Source organism: Homo sapiens, chromosome 10 (assembly GCF_000001405.40).
Source record: "Homo sapiens chromosome 10, GRCh38.p14 Primary Assembly".
Classification (NCBI taxonomy): Eukaryota; Metazoa; Chordata; class Mammalia; order Primates; family Hominidae; genus Homo; species Homo sapiens.
This window is the reverse complement of record NC_000010.11, coordinates 55,548,752-55,567,234: the sequence shown is the minus strand read 5'-3', so window position 1 is coordinate 55,567,234 and position 18,483 is coordinate 55,548,752. Positions and strand designations below refer to the sequence as shown.

General features: G+C 31.1%; 1 protein-coding gene across 1 annotated transcript in view; it reads left to right on the top strand.

Annotated features, from left to right (window-relative positions):
- Nucleotides 1–18,483, top strand: part of PCDH15 (protocadherin related 15) — a 1,825,172-nt gene that overhangs the window by 60,708 nt on the left and 1,745,981 nt on the right. The window lies entirely within an intron of this gene.

Sequence of the window (18,483 nt, the reverse complement as noted above, 5' to 3'; positions counted from 1 at the left end):
TTTTGCATATGGATATCTAATTTTCCCTGCAACATTTATTGAAAATACTGCCTTTTCCCCATTGAATACTCTTGACACCGTAATTGAAAATCATTTGACCATACATGTGAGACTTTACTTCTAGGCAACCTTTCCTATTACACCGGTCCATATGTCTGTCTTTATGCCAGTACCACAATGTTTTGATTACTGTAGCTTTATAGTAAGTTTGGAAATCAGGAGTCTGAGTGCTCTAGCTTGTTCTTTTCTAGGATCAATTTAGCTATTTGGAGTCTCTTGAAATTCCTATGAATTTTAGGATGAGTTTTTTGTATTTCTGCTTTAAGGCATCATTGGGATTTTGATAGGGATTGCGTTAAGTCTATAGATTTGCATTGAATCTGTGGTGTTGACATTATAACAATGTTAAGTCTTCCAATCATGAATATGAGATGCCTTTCCATTCATTTTTATATTCTTTAATTTCTTTTGGAATGTTTTGTAGCTTTTATAAGACAGGTCTTTTATTTTCTTGGTTAAATAAAAATAGTTTATATTTTTGATGCTATTGCAAATTAAATTATTTTATTAATTTTGTTTTTGGATTATTCTTTGTTATTGTATAGATATGCACTTGATTTTTATGTGGTGACTTAATTTATTGGTTCTACTATTTTAGTGGAATTTTCAGCGTTTTCTATAAATAAGATTATATTCTCTGTAAACAAAGATAATTTGACTTCTTCCTTTCCAATTTTATGCCTTTTATTTTTCTTTTCCTTTCATATTTTTTTCTAGCCAGATCTTTTAGTACTATATTGAATAGTAGTAAGCTCAGACTTCCTTGCCTTGTTGCTTATCACAGAGGGAAAACTCTTAAGTTTTTCACGATTGACTATGATGTTTTATATGGGACTTTTATATATGAATTTTTTTATTAGGTTAAGGTGGTTTCCTTATATTTCTACTTTGTTGAGTGTTTTTTTTAAATCACGAAAGGGTATAAAATTTTGCCAAATGCTATTTATGCATCAATTGAGATAACCATGTGATTCTTACCCTTCATTGTTAATATGGTATATTACATTTAACAATTTTTGTATGTTGAAATATCTTTGATTTCCATTAATATTAATAAATCTCTTTTGCTTGCGGTCTGTAATCATTTTAATCTGCTGCTTAATAACTTGTTTTGCTAGAAATTTTTTGAGGATTTTTGCATCAGTGTTTATAAAGGATACGTCTATGGTATTAGGGTAATGATGTCTTATAGAATGAGTTTTGGAAATGTTCCCTCATGACAGCATTTTTGGAAAAGTTTGAAAAAGATTGATGCTAGTTCTTTAAATGTTTTATCGAATTCACTGGTGATGCCATCAGGTCCAGGGCTTTTGTTGTCAGGAGATATTTTATTAGTGGTTCAGTCTCCTTAGTAGGTATCAGTCTATTTACATTTTTAATTTTATCATTATTTAGTGTTGGTAAGTTTTATATCTCTAGGAATTTTTCCATTTCATATGTAATTAGATTTCTAGGCATACAAGTTTTCATAGTACTCTCTTATAGTCCATTTTATTTCTGTAGAATTGATAGCAAAGTCACCATTTTCATTTCTCATTGTAGTAATTTGAGTCTTCTTTTTCTCTTAGTCCGTCTAGCTAAAAGTTTACTAACGTTGTTGATCTTTTCAAACAACCAACTTTTGGTTTCATTGTTTTTCTATCATCTATTTTGTCTATCTCTGCTCTAGTCTTTATTATCTTCTTTCTTCTTCTTGCCTTCAGTTTGTTTTTCTGGTTTAAGTTGTAAAGTGGTTGATTTGAGATATGTCTTTTTCTAAATTAAAAGAAAATATTTCTTACTTTTAAATGTAAGCATTTATAGCTATACATTTCTCTCTTAGCGCTGCTTTTTCTATGTCTCATAAATTTTGGCATGTTGTGATTTAGTTTTCATTTATTTCGAAATACTTGTACAGTTCCCCTGTTATTTCTTCTTTGATCAATTGGTAATTTAGAAATACATGTTTAATTTCCACATATTTTTTGATTTTTCCACTTTTTCTTTTGTTACTAATTTCTAACTTAATTTTGTTGTAGTTGGCAAAGATACTTTGTATGATATCTTTTAAACCTATTGAGATGTAATTTGTGGCCTAACACATAATCCGTCCTGGAAAACATTCCATGTGCACTTGAGAAGAATGCATATTCTGTTGTGGGGTAGAATATTCTGTAAATATCTCTTACATCTTGTTGGTTTATTGTGTTTTTTAAGTCCTCTATTGTTATTTATTTCTTTACTTATCTTCTGATTGGTTTATCCATTACTAAGGGTAGATTTTGAAGTCTTCAATTATTATTGTAGAACTATTTATTTTTCCTTCATTTATATCAAAATTTCCTTCTAATAGTCTGTTATGTACATGTTGATATTTATTATAGCTTCTTGGAATATTGAACCTTTTATTAATATATTATGTCCTCCTTTGACTCTTGCAGCCTTTTAACAGTTATTTAAAGTCTATTTTATCTGGTATTAATATAACCACCCCAGTACTCTTATGGTTACTGTTTACATGGAGCGTCTTTTTCTATCCTTTCACTTTCAATCTGTTTGTGTATTCAGATATAGAGTGAGTCTCTTTTAGACAGTATATAGTTGGATCATGGCCATAATCCATGCTGCCAGTATCAGTCTTTTGTTTGAAGGGCTTTGCTATTTAAAATTAAAGTAATTGTTAATAAGAAGATAACTGTAACTGTCATTTTGTTATTTATTTTCTAGATGCCTTGTAGCTTTTTTAGTATTGAATTTATATTTTGTAGTGAAAATTTAAATTCCTTTCATACGTTTTTTAATGTATATTCTATAATTATTTTCTTTGTGGGTACCATGAGTATTAACCGCCAACACTCTAAAATTATAATACTCTAATTTGAATGTATATTAGCAAAAGCTCAATAATATACAAAAACTCAGCTCCTATAACATCTTCATTCACATTTTTTTAGTTATTAATGTCACAAAATTATGTCTATACATTGTGCATTCAAAAACATAATCATTTTAAATATATTAGTATTCTCTATTATGTATAAAACAAAATGTAGATGTACAAACCAAAGTTATAATAATGGGAACTTTAGACTAATAATTGTTTAATATATTAGTCTCTTGAAGTCTGTGGAAAATAAAAAATGAAGTTACAAACCAATGTTACAATAATACTAGCTTTTATATTGTCCATGCGTTTACCTTTACTGAGATATATACTTATTCATATAGCTTTGAGTTACTATCTAATGTCCTTTTATTTTAAGCTGCAGGATTCCTTGAGCATTTATAGCGGTTAATGAACTACCTTAGTTTATGTATGAGAATAATTTATATATTCTCTGGGGGATAGGTTATGGAATTTTCATTCAGTGGTAATTTTCAGCTCCTGATTTTTTTTGTTCATTTTTAGCCTTTCTGTCTCTATTGATATTTTCATTTTGTTCATCGTTTCCTTGACTTTCTGTATGCTTTCCTTTAGTTTTTTGGACACCATTATAATGGTTATTTTAAAGTATTTATGTAGTAGATCTACCATCAAGTCTTTCTCGGTGACTCTATTTTGCTTTATCTGTTTTCTTTAAATGAGCCATACTTTCTTGTTCCTGTGTGTGCCTCGTGATTATTTGTTGAAAACTGGACATCTGAATTTAATTAAATGGTAAATCTTGAAATCAGATTTTCTCCCTTCCCCAGGGCTTGCTGTTTTTGTTATTATTTTGTTTATATTGTTGCAGGCTGTGTCTGTGCTGAAGATCGGCCTGAGTTGTAAACTTAAAGACTTTTATTAGTATTTCATGAACCTGCACCATTTCTTGATGATACACTGAAACTTTCTAATTTCCCTCATGTATGCAGTTGCTCTGGAAATATACTATTCTTTAATGTTTGACTTCTCAAAGGGGTAAAGGAAAAATGTAGGGGGACAAACAGCCTTTTAAATCTCCTGGAAGTCACCTTAGCCAGGAAGAGTGGGTTTTAGAAAAGAAGGGAGTGCAAAAACAATGGCTACCACCTTTTTGTCTCTACCATTGTGCTCAGAAGCAGCAATCAACCATGACAGCACAGATCCTTGATAACCGAAGGATGTGGTCCTTTTTGCTCATGGTAGTTTTTGCAAGCTAGAGGCAAGCTGCAGCAGAAATACGTGCACAGCTCCCTGTCTTGGGGTTGAGGGTGGGGATAGATAGTTGCTCCTAAGCTAACGGCTGAAATTAACTAAAATTTATTATCCATGCTTTCTCCTGGAATTTGTAAGTTTCACTAAATTCAAGAATTCCAAAAGAGTTGTATCAGAGAGATTTTGCCAGTGTAATTATTACTTATGTGTAAAGAGATTTCCAGTGCTTGCTTTTCCATCATCTTCCCAGAATTCTGTAAACCAGACTCTTTCACAATGTTTCCGTGAATGACATCACTGTCTATCCAGTTATGTAAACCAAAATTTATACATCCTTCTCTTTTCCCCACACGTATCATTTCTCACAAAGTCATTTCAATTTTAACTTCTAAATATCACATAAATAGTTAATGACTATTGTTTGGGTGCCTGCATACTCCTGAGCATTGATTTCATATCTTTTAATTACATATCTCAGCAAGGACTTGGTATGCTCAGGTATGCCACGTGGACACTGGAGTTTATAGATGTACGACACATTTCTCAACTAAGTGACAAAGCTGGGTTTATACAGTCAGTTTGATTCTACACATTTTACTGAACATGATGCCTCACATTTATTTTCTGGAAAATGACGTTAGATTAGGCTAAACAAAAGTTTTAAACTATTATGAATAAATATTTTTAAAATAATATATACAAGTTTTTATATCAAATACATATATTTCCAATATTTCAAAACTAATTGAATTCATCCTTATAATAACTGTATAAAATAGCTAATCTTATTTCAATTTCACTGATGAACAGTGTATAAATCAGTAAATAAGGGACAACAATGGTATTCCAATATAAATTTCCAGCTAAACTGAAGTTCTGTGTTCTTCAGTGCTTTGTTATAATGTCCCCTTGGAACAGTAAGCCCTTAAAATGCTGACAAAATCATGAATTGTAAAATAAATTCACAAATGTTGCTACTCTTGAGACAACGTGTACAGACAGAGAATTGAAAATATGACAGAAAATCAAAGGATGTCTGTGGTTAATGTGTTATATTAAATAAAAAGCACAACTGTAGAAGCTTTGTCAGTTAATGACTATTAATAAAAGTCTCCTGACTTGCCTCCCAGACTAAAAAATCATAAAACGACATTTAATATTTTAATTGAAAAATCAATTTTAAACTGGGGCAGTCTCTATTACTAGCAAATGTTATGACTGTTAATAATATTGGGTTCTTTTCTTATTTTACTAACCATGCTACTTTCTTTTTTCTATTCTCCCCAAAATGAATCCAAATTCAAGAAATTTGAAAAGTGTCAGTTATTGGCCTCTTGGAAAAACAGGCTGCTCTCCTCTTTCCACAGGTTTACTCTGGTATTTCCTTGAAATACTTAGTTTTAAAATGTACCAGGTAAGATGTTTGTCTTAAGGCAAACATGTGGTACTCTCTTCATGTAATCTATTTATGTACTAAGTGGATTAAGAGGCCTATTTGGGAACAGGAACATCTTATCATCAGCCCTCACATCATACTATTTTGGAATTGTACTCTTTCAAAGACTATAGTTAAGACACCTGAAAAAATATTATTATCATTCATAAACAATTTTTATTGTCCTATCATGTTCAAAAGTTTAAATACAGACAACTTTTGGATAAATACATTCTAGCTATTCCAGCTAATTCTTAAGCACTTATGATGACAAAGTTTTGTTTGCTGTGATAGTAGAAAAACAGACTAATTTTCCTAAAAATCCAAGGGTTTCACATTAATCTAGTTTTGAAAACTGTAGCCTGTATGTTTCTAATCTGGCTATAATAAAATAAGTTTATATAAAATGTTTAGTGATGTGAAAAGTTGTTAACTTCCCAGTTTTCAAAGGTCTTTTTAGACATGTACTTTTACCTGAATTTCTTTCTGAAGATTAATTTCTTAACCTTTGTTCTGTGAAAGTATTTTTCAGGTTACTCCCTAGATAACACCTGAGTTATTTTTAAAATATATATTCTCTTTTGTCTCCAGAACATTTCTAAATAACCTTCCCAGAGTATCTTAAATGAATTATTGAATTTGTTTTGAAAATAATTTTCACCAAAGAAGGCATATTTCTTAATACTTAAAATAAAATTGTGAAATTTGACTTGCATTTGTGAAATTTTTGCAACAAAAGTTACTCTTTATTTTCCTGTTTCCCTTATTTATATGTTATATTTCCCTTATTTATATTTACATGTTAGTCTTTATCTATTAATAGCCCAAAAATCTAACATCATTGGCTAAAAAGGATATATTAATTAATGGCACTGGAATACAGCTTGCAGATATGTCACAGGACTTGAAAGTGGAAATGTGAGTAATAAATACAATGTCAACAAAAGAGAAAGTTTGAAGATCATTGATATTACATGGTGACATTACTCTTTTTCATTACTGAATTGATTTACAGATGACAATTCACTGTGTTTTGATAAGTGTTGAAGGTTTTAGTGCTTTCAAAATGCTTACTTTTGGATATATGGTGTCATAATCATCTGGGATTTCCTAAGTTTCAGTATAGAATTACGGGTCAGAATTTCTCAGTATGTTACTCAGGAACATATTTTTTAAAGCTCCACAGATAATTTTAATTCACTATCAATTAAGGCAATCACTATTGGACAACCAAGACAGAAGGAAAATAACCAAATTCATTGATGTGCAAAGGTATGAAGGATGTTATTGGGTGTGATAAGTCCATTCACAATGTTGGAAAAAACATCAAGCATTCCCAGTCTAAGAATACTGGATTGTAAAATATTGTGCATATCAAGTGCTGCTTTGTGTTCTGGCCATCTTCCTGCATTTTTTCCTTCATTATGTCCTCTACTGGCTGAGGGGAAAATCACTATACATTTTTTCCTGGACCTAAATTATTACAGAAATTTAATTCAAATTTCTAAATGTGGCAGGCCATTTTACAAATGATACGACATGTTTGTCTGTAAACATTTGAAGGAGGAGAGTAGAAAGTTCACATGAATTTATTTTAATATAACTCTTAAATGCATTGGAAAATGGTTTGTCCTTAATGGCCTACAGTGTTGTATGAGTCTAGGCGTATAATCACTGCCTGTTTAATAGTTTTCCTATGGTGGCATTTGGAGACCTTTTTAGTGATCATTGGAAAGTACAGTGTTTGTAAGAGTCTTTTGGTACTTTGAAATATTATGTAAAGAGAACTCTACAGGATGTTGAAAAACATTTTTCTTTATTAGGAAAAATTCTGTCATTACTGAAGAAAGCTGTGTTGAGAGGAGATGCACACTTTCACATCTACATGTGTAAGACTGAATTCTGCTGGCAGAAATTTTGGTTCAGTTAACTTTCTCCATGAAAAAAAAGAAAATTCAACTCTAGGATTTTTTTTTCTAGTGAGAATTATTTGTATTGCATTAACATGGAACACAATTTTTACATTTCAATATCAGTGGTCTACTTTAAAACTAGTAAAAACAAACCTATTAACTATCTTTACTTGTGATAAAGTAAATAATGCTCCGATACTATTCTCCATGACATCATTTTATTCATTTCTCACATATGACATGCTAATATTCCGCAGCTAGCCTTATAGTGCTTGTCATTTATAATGGCCACATATGATTTGCTTTTGAAAATAGTTTATCATTGTCTCTACATATTATCCTTCTTTAAAAATAAAACTCTACTACACTGTATTTTGATTATATTAATGTAACAAAAGTTGTTATACAACACTTCTTTTCAAAATTAAAAAGCTGTTATTCAATGTGAAGTTTGAATAACTATATGATATTTTTTATTATTAATTTAGAGTAATAATAGGCCCATCGACTATATTGGTATACATTTGGTTCTATTTGGGACATGGTATTTGTCCTACCTGATCATCTGTGATGTGCCTTACAAAGTGCTGTGTGAGATGTAAGGTGGAAGTGTAGGGCCATAATCAGGAATGAAATACTGTTATAACACCTGCAAGCTTACAAGAAATCTATGGTTATAGAGTCTGGATAGAGAGTTGGCACTGGGAGGTGACATAAGGGAGACTTCTAGAGAACTGTTAATGTTATTTATTTATTTACCTGTGTGGGGATTACATAAATGTTTTCACTTTGTGATGATTTATTTATACCAATAATATTTTTTCACGTATCTGTACATGTATTACACTTCAATTAAAATGCTAACAACAAAAATAACAAATACATTATAGGCAATACTAAAAGACTACCTCTATTTAAGGTAGGTAAAATGGAAAGAAAAACATTTCAGGAATCTGTGAGGGGGAAATTCTGAGAATAGAAACATATGATATTACTAGGTCATTTGAGTTATATTCTGTATCATTTTAACAAGTTTAAAACAAATTTATGGCAATGCTAGATAATGTTATGTATAGTGTTTGGTTTAAAAATTGTATAAAGCTAATAAATAAGTACTTTTGTAATGCACACTAATTGTATGCATAGGCATTATACATTATTTTTATAAATAAAATATTCTGCAGTTGTTTTAAAACAATTCCCTGAGAATTACTTTCATATAAAATAAAAATTAGATGTAAAATGAGTTCTTTGAGTTAATGCAGTATTGCGCAGGATCTTGTTCAGCAGCTCAAGCACTCTGAAGGTCTTAGATAGAAGTTGTAGCTAAACACCTGCAGACATAAAAGCAAACCAAACCCATACCCATCATGTGAGTCAATTCCAATCCAGACAAATTATTTCTTCTTTAAAAATAAGATGATCACAATATCATCAACTTGTCCCCAAGAAAGTGATTGATCCTCTCAAACTATAGTGCCAAGTGAGGTGTCCAGCGTTTGTTTCTGTGGCTGTCAGAATATATAATAAGCAGTGGCTATAAAGAAATCAGCCCTGGTGAACAGAAGCCCATGCTGTGGAGTCTGGATTAGCCTCCATCTCTGCTACCACAGTCTCTTCACTGAGGCATCTATTATGCCAGCACTAGGCCATCTAATGACAGAGGTTAGCAGATGTCAGTTGGCATAGTCATTTTATCTACTTGGTTGTCTAGTGCCCTCTCCATGGTGAATATTATTTAGTTAGCATTAACACGAGATTAAAGAGTCTTCATAACTTATTGATATTTCTATAAGTCCATCAAATAGGTTTTCCCCAATGCTCTTTCTCTCCCCTTTAATCTCTGTATACCCAGACCACTAAGTAAACCTCCAAACTCTTTACCACTTCCATATGTCAGTGTATTTTCTTACCTCGGTTCTTTCCTCTTTTCAGAAAACATGAATGAAGTAGTGAGTGTCCATGGGGAAAATTTTTCTGACTTCTGTCCTTCGGGATCACTATTGATTTGGCTTTAAGATAGCAGCAATCCTTCATTACTCTGAAACCCATATTAAGCAAACCCATCTATTAAGCTAGCTGGGCCTTTTTTTTCACCTCCATTACTTGGTCATAAGGTAACCCTAATGAATGAAAGCCTGAGATGAGGCAAAAGCCATAGTAAGATAATGAGAGATGACAAGGGGGCTATCGTCTCATGCAGTTTATTTGTGTTCTCTGATTCTACTTCTGCATGATCTTGAATTCATCACTTCTGGCTTATAATGGAATTCACTTCTGGCTTATAATGGCAGCCCTACATTTAACTTGTTGATTTTGACCAAATCCAGTTTATGGTAACCAGTTCTGATCACATAGCCTAATATCACAATATTTTCCAGAAAAGTAAAAATTAGTGAATAATCTAAAACAAACTCTACAAGTCTAATAGTCTTATTATGTTATGAAAATATGATAAAAGAAGTTTACAGATCAATCTGCTTATGGGTGTTCACTCAATAAACTTAAATGTTTCAGCAAATCAAATCAAAGATGTATAAAAATATATTGCAACTAGGTTTGTATTTTAGTGCTAAATATTGCAGATTAAAAGCAGAAGACATTAAAAGATAGATAAGTTTGGCTATATTAAAACTGGTACAATTGTGAACAGGAATGCTAAAGAATGTGTTTGCACAAAATGTAAGCAGCAGAGAGATAGTCACCAGAATATACAGAGAACTCATAAAAATCAATAAGGTGAAGAAACCTTCCCTCTGCCAATTGGTCAAACAATGTGAAAACACATTCAATAAAGAGCAAATACACAAATACACATGATTAATAAATTATGATTGAATATTCAACTTTACTAGTTGTTAAGAAAAATGTAAAAAACTTTTTTGTTTTGTTTTGTTTTTGAGACACAGTCTCCCACGATAGAGTACAGTGGTGCGATCTAGGCTCACTTCATAATTTGCCTCCCGGGTCCAAGCGATTCTCCTGCCTCAGCCTCCCAAGTAGCTGGGATTGCACGCACACGCGCCACCACATCCAAATAATTTTTGTACCTTTTTTTTTCTTTGCGGGACAGGGTTTCACCATATTGGCCAGGCTGATCTCAAACTCCGGACCTTAAGTGATCAGCCCACCTTGGCTTCCCAAAATGCTGGGATTACAGGTGTGAGCCACCACTCCTGGCCCAATGTAAATAACTTTTAAACCCAGTCTACAAAAAATAAGATTAAAACAATCTCATAGTTGCAAGTTTTGGGGAAAAGCATATAGTATCAGAAACCAATAGGATTTTCCACTTCCATTAGCAGCATGATTTGGCATAAGCATCTTGAAGAGCAGGTTCACAATATATGGTAGAGGCAAAGATATGCAGCAATAGATATCCCAGGAGTTCCATTCTTTAATGTAAATCTTAGGGCCCAAAGCAACTGTCTTCTATGAAAACCAGATGACATGTGTAATATTTTTCATTATAGCATGTCATTATTACATGTCTTATCAAAAATTTGGAAAAGCCTAAGTGTTCACCACTAGGGCAATAAATAAGTAACGGTGTAATTATAAACACCACTAGGCCAATAAATAAATTATGGTGTAATTATAAACAACAAATAAAAATTAATAATCTAGAGCTATAGTGTGTGTATATATGGAGAGAGAGAAAAAGAAAAAGTGTCAGATTTAGAACATTTAAAGAAGCTTATTTAAAGAAGTTTGAAATATGCAAAAAATATATTTTAGAATACATTAAGTATAAAGCAAAACTAGTAAAAAAGGTATCTGAATGATAATGAACAAACACTGGAAGTGATTTCTTTGGATGATGTCAGGCAAATTGTGGGGAGGAAAAATAATGCGACTATGGAGAGCCATTGAAATATGTTTTTAATAATTTTATTCATCATCTGTATGGCAGATTCTCTGGTGTTCTTCATATTATTTTTATTAATTTTCTATGCATGTACATTTTAGACTATACTTTAAAATCACTTAAAAGGAAAAAAAATCCACTAAGCACCCTCATTACTTCTAACATGTCATTCAAAGATTGCAGAAGTTCAAAGATAGGATATTTTCTACATCTATAGTTACATTTCTCCTTAATAATTAATTTTAAATCTAGTCCGTGTAAAATAAGTGGTCTTCACTTACTTGTTTCTCCTTCTTTAAGTCAAAAATTGAGAAGAGGCATCTCTAGAGAATAATAAAACATTTATCCAGGAGGAAAACTACACCACATAACCATTGCCCATTAGCTGGGAAAGATATCCGTATAAATGCAGGATTAAATGAATTTTTAAGTATTGGAGAAGCAGAAGAACTTTGAGAGAAAATAAAACGGCTTTCTTATATTGAAAATACTGGGTGATGTAGTTGAAATCAGAAGTAAGCAGCTTTAGGGCTCAGCTCTACTGATGAGCTTTTGAACAAGGGAAAATTATATAATTGAAGAGCCCATTTTTTCATCTGCTTTGAAGATAGGGATAAGCTGATCTATCTTTTTTAATCATTGTGAGGATTAAGTGGACTTGAAACACTCAGCATAGAGTGATTTCTTAAAATAGTAGTTACTGGTAATAATTTTAATTGGTTTAGAAATAGCTTCTATGATCCCAAAGATTGTTTTAATGTATCATTTTAAAATGTCTTCAAAACAGAAAATTACTTTATTAATTATGGAAATACTGATTTTCTTCAAATAGTAAGGAAGAAGTAATTGATATCTTCTAATTAACTTTTCTAGACTTTCCCAAACCCATAAACCCTTTTCAGGGGTAAAACATGAGACAAATATCAGTTTAGAGGCATGCTATAACATACCTGGCCAGTATGCCTCACAACTGTCTATATCATCAAAAAGAGGAATGCCAAGAAGAGCTTAAGGACATAAAACAACTAAATTTTAAGTGGTATTTTGGATGAAATACTAGAACATAAAAGGACATTAGGTAGAAACTAAGGAAATCAAAATTAACTATGGACTTTAGTTAATATGGTTGTCCCTCATTTTACACAGGGTTTGGTTGCATGACCACCTGCACTAATACCCAAATCCACATAAACTGAAGTCCTGCATACATTCTTTCAGAAGCAACATATAGGAATATTTGGCCCCCCATATGTGTGGGTTTTGCATCCCACAAAAGCTGTATTTTCGATCCGTGTTTGATTAAAAAATGTCTTCATAGGAGTGACCCTGCACAGTCCTAACTCAAGTTGTTGAAAGTTCAACTGTAATAATGTCAATATTGGTTCATTAATTGTAATAATTGTACCTCACTAAGGTAAGATGTCAATGACAGGGGAAACTGAGTGGAAAAGAATATGAGATCTCTGTAATTTATGCTCAAGTTGTCTGTAAATCTTAAACTATCAATATAGTCTATTAATAAATTTAAAAAACCTTTCTAGACTATTTTTACACATCTTATCATCTATTCTTCCATACCTTCAAAAACGAAGAAAAATAGAGTTATGCCTAATTTAAAGGTTGAGAAATTGAGACTAGAAAATGTTGCAGCTTCCTAATGCAAATGTGGCACTGGAGAATGTATGCCAGTCTTCTTGAATATTGCTTCAGAATTATTAGATCACTGGTTTTGAACAGGAATTGAAAAAGTTCTTTGGGCTGGACAGAGGTAGTGGGAACAAGCACAAGTTTTACATATCTTTTGTTATGGACATAAACATTTTCCTGAGTACAGAGTACAACCTTAATTGTGAACCCCAGAAGAATTTAGGTAGTATTTTGTATGAACTACATGTTAAAACTTGGTTCTGGTTCTTCCTAGACAAATTAAAAACTTATATTTAACATTTCCAAATTGAGTCTATTTTTCAGTGCCTTTTATAGTCAGGTTCTTTAAGGACGTATAGATATCAGCATCGTCATTATCACCATAATCATCTTAATTATGCAGAACTTATATATATTGATCACTTAGTTTGTAACAGACTCTCAACTACATACTCATCATATTAGTTAACTCATGTAATCCTATAATAGTCCTGTAATGTAGTTAAAAGTTTTAGCTTAATTTTTGAGACAAAAAAATTTAAGATACAGGGTTTATGTTACTGATCCTTGTTCTCACAGCTAATGAACAAGAGGACAAAAATTCAGGCTGAGAAAGTCAAATTCAGAGTCTCCTTGCAACCTCTGTGTTAGATACTACACAGGACAGAAATTGGAAGGAATGTGCCAAAATGACAATGAATATTCATTAAAAATAGTATTTTTAATGTTTTTATGATGAATAAGTTTTTGTTTAAAGAATAAAAAACACCACTTTGTTCAGGGTTAGCATACTATTTTAAAGCCTTTAGTGAGTAATAATGATTTATTTTAATTACTGGATTACATAGAAAGTTTATGTTTAATGAAAATTTAGGAATTACATTTACTCAATAATTCAGCTATTTATGGAATGCTTCACATTTGCTTTGCGTACTTTGAGAATCAGAAATCCAGAGGTGAACCACACAAAATAACATGAATTTGGATTTCATGTTTTTTTTTTTTTTATTAACCTAGCGGTAGAAAAGAGTAAATGAAATTATGTTGCTGAAAGAATCTAACCATCACTTATTCTGTGGTCAATGATTATCTCTACTTAATTTATGAAATCAGCAATTTAAGAAAAATTGAGAGATATTTATATAATTAAAACTTATAAAAACTTTCATGTGTACTCTGTGTAAGTCAATTAATGTATCTCACTTTGTTGTTTATCTTTTTGTTTTGTTTCTTTCCCTAATGGGCTTTTAATTAAATAACCAAAGTGACTGATGTAATTCTTCACAAGATTACATGGATTAACATATTTAAGTTTAAATTATTTCTAAAATGTAAACGTTGTTTAGTATTCCCTGCATTTTAAGAAAACAAAATCACATTTATGGGGCAAAAAATGATTTGCTTACTTTTTCTCTTTTAGTACATATATTTATAATAGTTTATAATAAAAGCCATTATGTTTTATAATATTTGTAAGTCATGCATTAGTTAATATTTTCAAAGTATATTTTGAATTGGAATTCACTCACTAAATTTAAAAGAATGCATTCAAAACCATAATCATTTTCTCTACCAATAAAATGTTGACTGTAACAACTGTATATTTTTTCAAATTATGAAGTGCTAATTAACTACTTGTTCTAAAAGTATTCTTAGCTTTTGATTTGGGAACACAAAGATAGGAATTGAGGTTACAATTATAGTGAAATATTTATATTTATAATAACAGCTTTATTATTACCTCACATAGCACAGCTAGTACTAATAATGTGGCTTTAGTATTAACCCACAAGAAAATAATAGATTTTATCATTGCAAAAATACTGGCAGTACCTTTAAGATTTATTTAAAGATTATACTTTCATTTGAGTTTCTATTTTAAGAAATTTTGAAAATCTGTTCACAATAATAAAGAATATGAAAACATTATCCTCAATCACATGGAATGTAGAAGTGAAATCTCCCAAATCTACTCTATTAAATGATTAGAAAAAATTGATATATTGTTATATTAAAGGAAGTTTGAAATTAATATGAGTAATTCCAGAAGGCAATATTTTATTTGATATTTTAAAGCATTTAAGCCTTCCTTGAATAAGTCTGACTACGCAGTATGAATAATAGAGATGTAAGAAAGCAATAAATAAATTTGCTGTGCAATTCAGTGTTTTTGCATATGGATACTTTTTGTTTTTTCACTTGTCTTTTTAGCGAGAGTTTAGATGTGTTATTTAAATACGGAAAACCTTCAGATATTGGAAGAATAAAGAAAAAATAATGCTAAATTTTACACTTAGACAAGTAAAGGGAAAGTGGACATTTTGTTACTGCCAAGAATTTTCAAATTAAAAGGACAAATTTAGCTCAAATTCAACATTTATGAATAGCTTTTAAAGTCACATTATTCCTCTTTGATTTCGCAATATGTACATACTCATTACATGCAATTTTAAAATACTAAAAATTATAAATAATAATTAAAATCAACCACAGTAATAGCTCTCAGAAGTTACTACAGTTATATTGAAAATGTGTATTCTTAGAGTCCTTCCTCTATTCATATATCCTTTTATTATATCCACAAATTGAGGTTAATTTGTTTTGTAATCTACTTTACTCACATTTCAATATTGCCAACTTTTTTGGGAAACACATCATTAAATATTTTTGACAAGCTGATTTCAAATGTTACATGTTTTTTCCTCAAATTGACAAATTACTACTTATAGAATAAATACATTTCTTATTACCAGACTGAAAGATTATTTATACTTTCCTGCTATTGAAGAATATTGTAATGGATTCTATATAACCTGTCTTAAAAGCCTTCACATAGAATGCATGTAATTGTAAACTAGATTAGGTAACCATAAAATTGCTATTGTCAACAGTAACTGAAAGAATAAGGAATTAGCAGCTGAATTAAATTTAGCAGTGTGATTCAGTTTTATGAATTAAAAATCTTGAGGTTAAAACTACTACCTACTACAGATAGCTTCTATTTTCATAATAGCCTTACAAGACAAAGAGAGAAATTTTGATATTTTACCCTGCAGTGACACTATTCTTAGTATAATAAGTAATTCTCTTATGTATTAACAATCACCTGTGGGTGGTGTACTGTGGTGTCTCAAATATTAAGTATGTGCCTATTATTTTGTATTTCTTTGCTTCAGAAATAAGATTTGTGCCAGGATTTTTCTTCCCTCAAAGTATGCCTAGACATTATAATTTAACGTACTCCTCTAGGGAAAACAGAATAGAATTCATTACAAAATATTTTGACTCAAATATTGGAAGGAAGTTCATCTGTCTTTTTTATTATCATATTTACAAAACCGGACATCAAGGTATATATTTTGGGAGGGGCAATTGTTCTTGAAATGTTTGAAGTAGAAGAAGGTAAGATTACAAGGATGGCAAATATTTCCAAGGAGTTATGGGTAACATTTTTCTTTTAAGCCTCTTTGTTCTTGTTTTATTCTTGAAATATACAGTGGATGTATATTTCTTCTTCATTGAGAACAGATTTAGTGAAATCATTAATTAAAGATTCCTTTTGCTTCTAATTTAAATAATAGAGCAAAATATTTTGTCTTTTAAAAATGTGAAATAATAGTAAGTCTATTTAAAATGAACATATACATTTAGACACTTGGCAATACAATTAATACTTGCTTCCAGTGTTCCAAGCTGTTTTTCACAGACCTTCGTGCTCAAGGGCATGCTTGCCTTACTGAGGCTGTATTCTATAAGAACACGGAGTCCATACTATGACTCATACTCCTAGGCAGTGTAGTCATTTTCAGTGAAACCACAAATCTCTTATTGTCCCTAGGACAAGTCATAATGATGATTGATTTTATGAAGAGAAAAGAATCCTAGCTTTTTATTAATATATCAGTAACATCTCCTTAAATGAGAGATAACAGAGTAAGTTTCACCACCCATCATTTTTACAACACTAAAGTAGATGAATAAAGGATAGAAATATAAAACTTTGATTAGAAGAATACAATAGATAAGAAGACATGCATTTATTTGTGCAGTAATTTTCCTCTCCCCCTATTCTGTCATAAGTACCAGACATTGCACAAGACATGAAGAGTAAGAAAAAGATTGACATGTATAAAACAAGAAAAATAAAATAGATATGAATTTGTACATAGCAATATAATGGGCCAGGCCTCAAAGAGAAGATGGGTGAAAATACAAAATCATTGAGTCTTAGAGAAAGGGAAAAAATACAAAGTTCACTAAAATGCACGCATGCGCACACACACACCCCCAACACTCACAGAAACACATGCGTGAGGCGTAGGATTTCCCACTATCTCCCCTCTAGTCTTTTCTCCTCTATTTGTCGTACCAATTGACAATGATAGAGAACACAACAGTTGCCTTTGTTTCCCACTATTTCCTCTACTGACAACATTAGTGACAAAACAGGACCTAAGTCCCTACTCAATCTGTTTAGAGACTTAAGGCAGGAAACATGTTCTCTTCCTATGTCAATTTCAAGTCATTAGGAGAAACATTGAAAAGTCAGTGCATCAGCCAAAGACAACCGAATAACCTAAATTGAAAGGCAAAGGAAAATAAATAAAAGAATGGAAACTTCTACTTTTAGCCCACCTCATTTATCACTCTTTGTTTCTCCCTCCCTCATTATCTTTCCCTGTGCTGTTGGTGGTGTCCAACTTCAACTTCCTACCTAAGATTCACCCTGCTAGATGCATAATGCTGACACAGAGCCTTGTTAAAAAGAAAATATACTGTGATGTTCAATTGATGCATACCCATCATCTTGGAGTTTTTAATTTTGTTGTACTGAATGTTGTAAGCATACTCATATTATTTTGTTTTCTATAATAATTTTAACATGTGTAACGGGCTGTAAGTAATCAATGTTAAATTAACTTTCATCTGAAAATGATTTGAACTTCTATTTATTGTTAATATTATTAGAGAATATATTTTAGTAATTTAAGCACAGAAAAACAGGAATATGAATAATTTGAACATTTGCTGGGGGGGAAAAAACAAACAAACAAACAAAAAAAACCCTCTTCTTCCCTAATTAGATATGTCAATTCTTCAGTAGACTGAATTGTAGCTATGTTTGGTTATATTTTAAAATGAAAACAAGATGATTGAAATGTGTGTTATCCAATGTTATGTTAATATATTTTTATTTCATTTGTGGCTGCTTTGGTACTAATCTTTTTCTAATAAAATGTGTTAAACAGGTTAAAATACTAAAATTATTCTTTTGTTTTCTAAACCATCATCTTTTTTAAAGCACTTTATCTCTTTTACTCAAACCTTCCATTTTTAATGCTACTCTAACTTCAGCTGTCATTTTTCTATATATTCTTCAACCCTTACTTCCTGAATTCTTTCTTATTCAAAGACTTCACAGTTCCCTACTCTCTCTCCTCCTTTCACTTCCCATGGTACATTT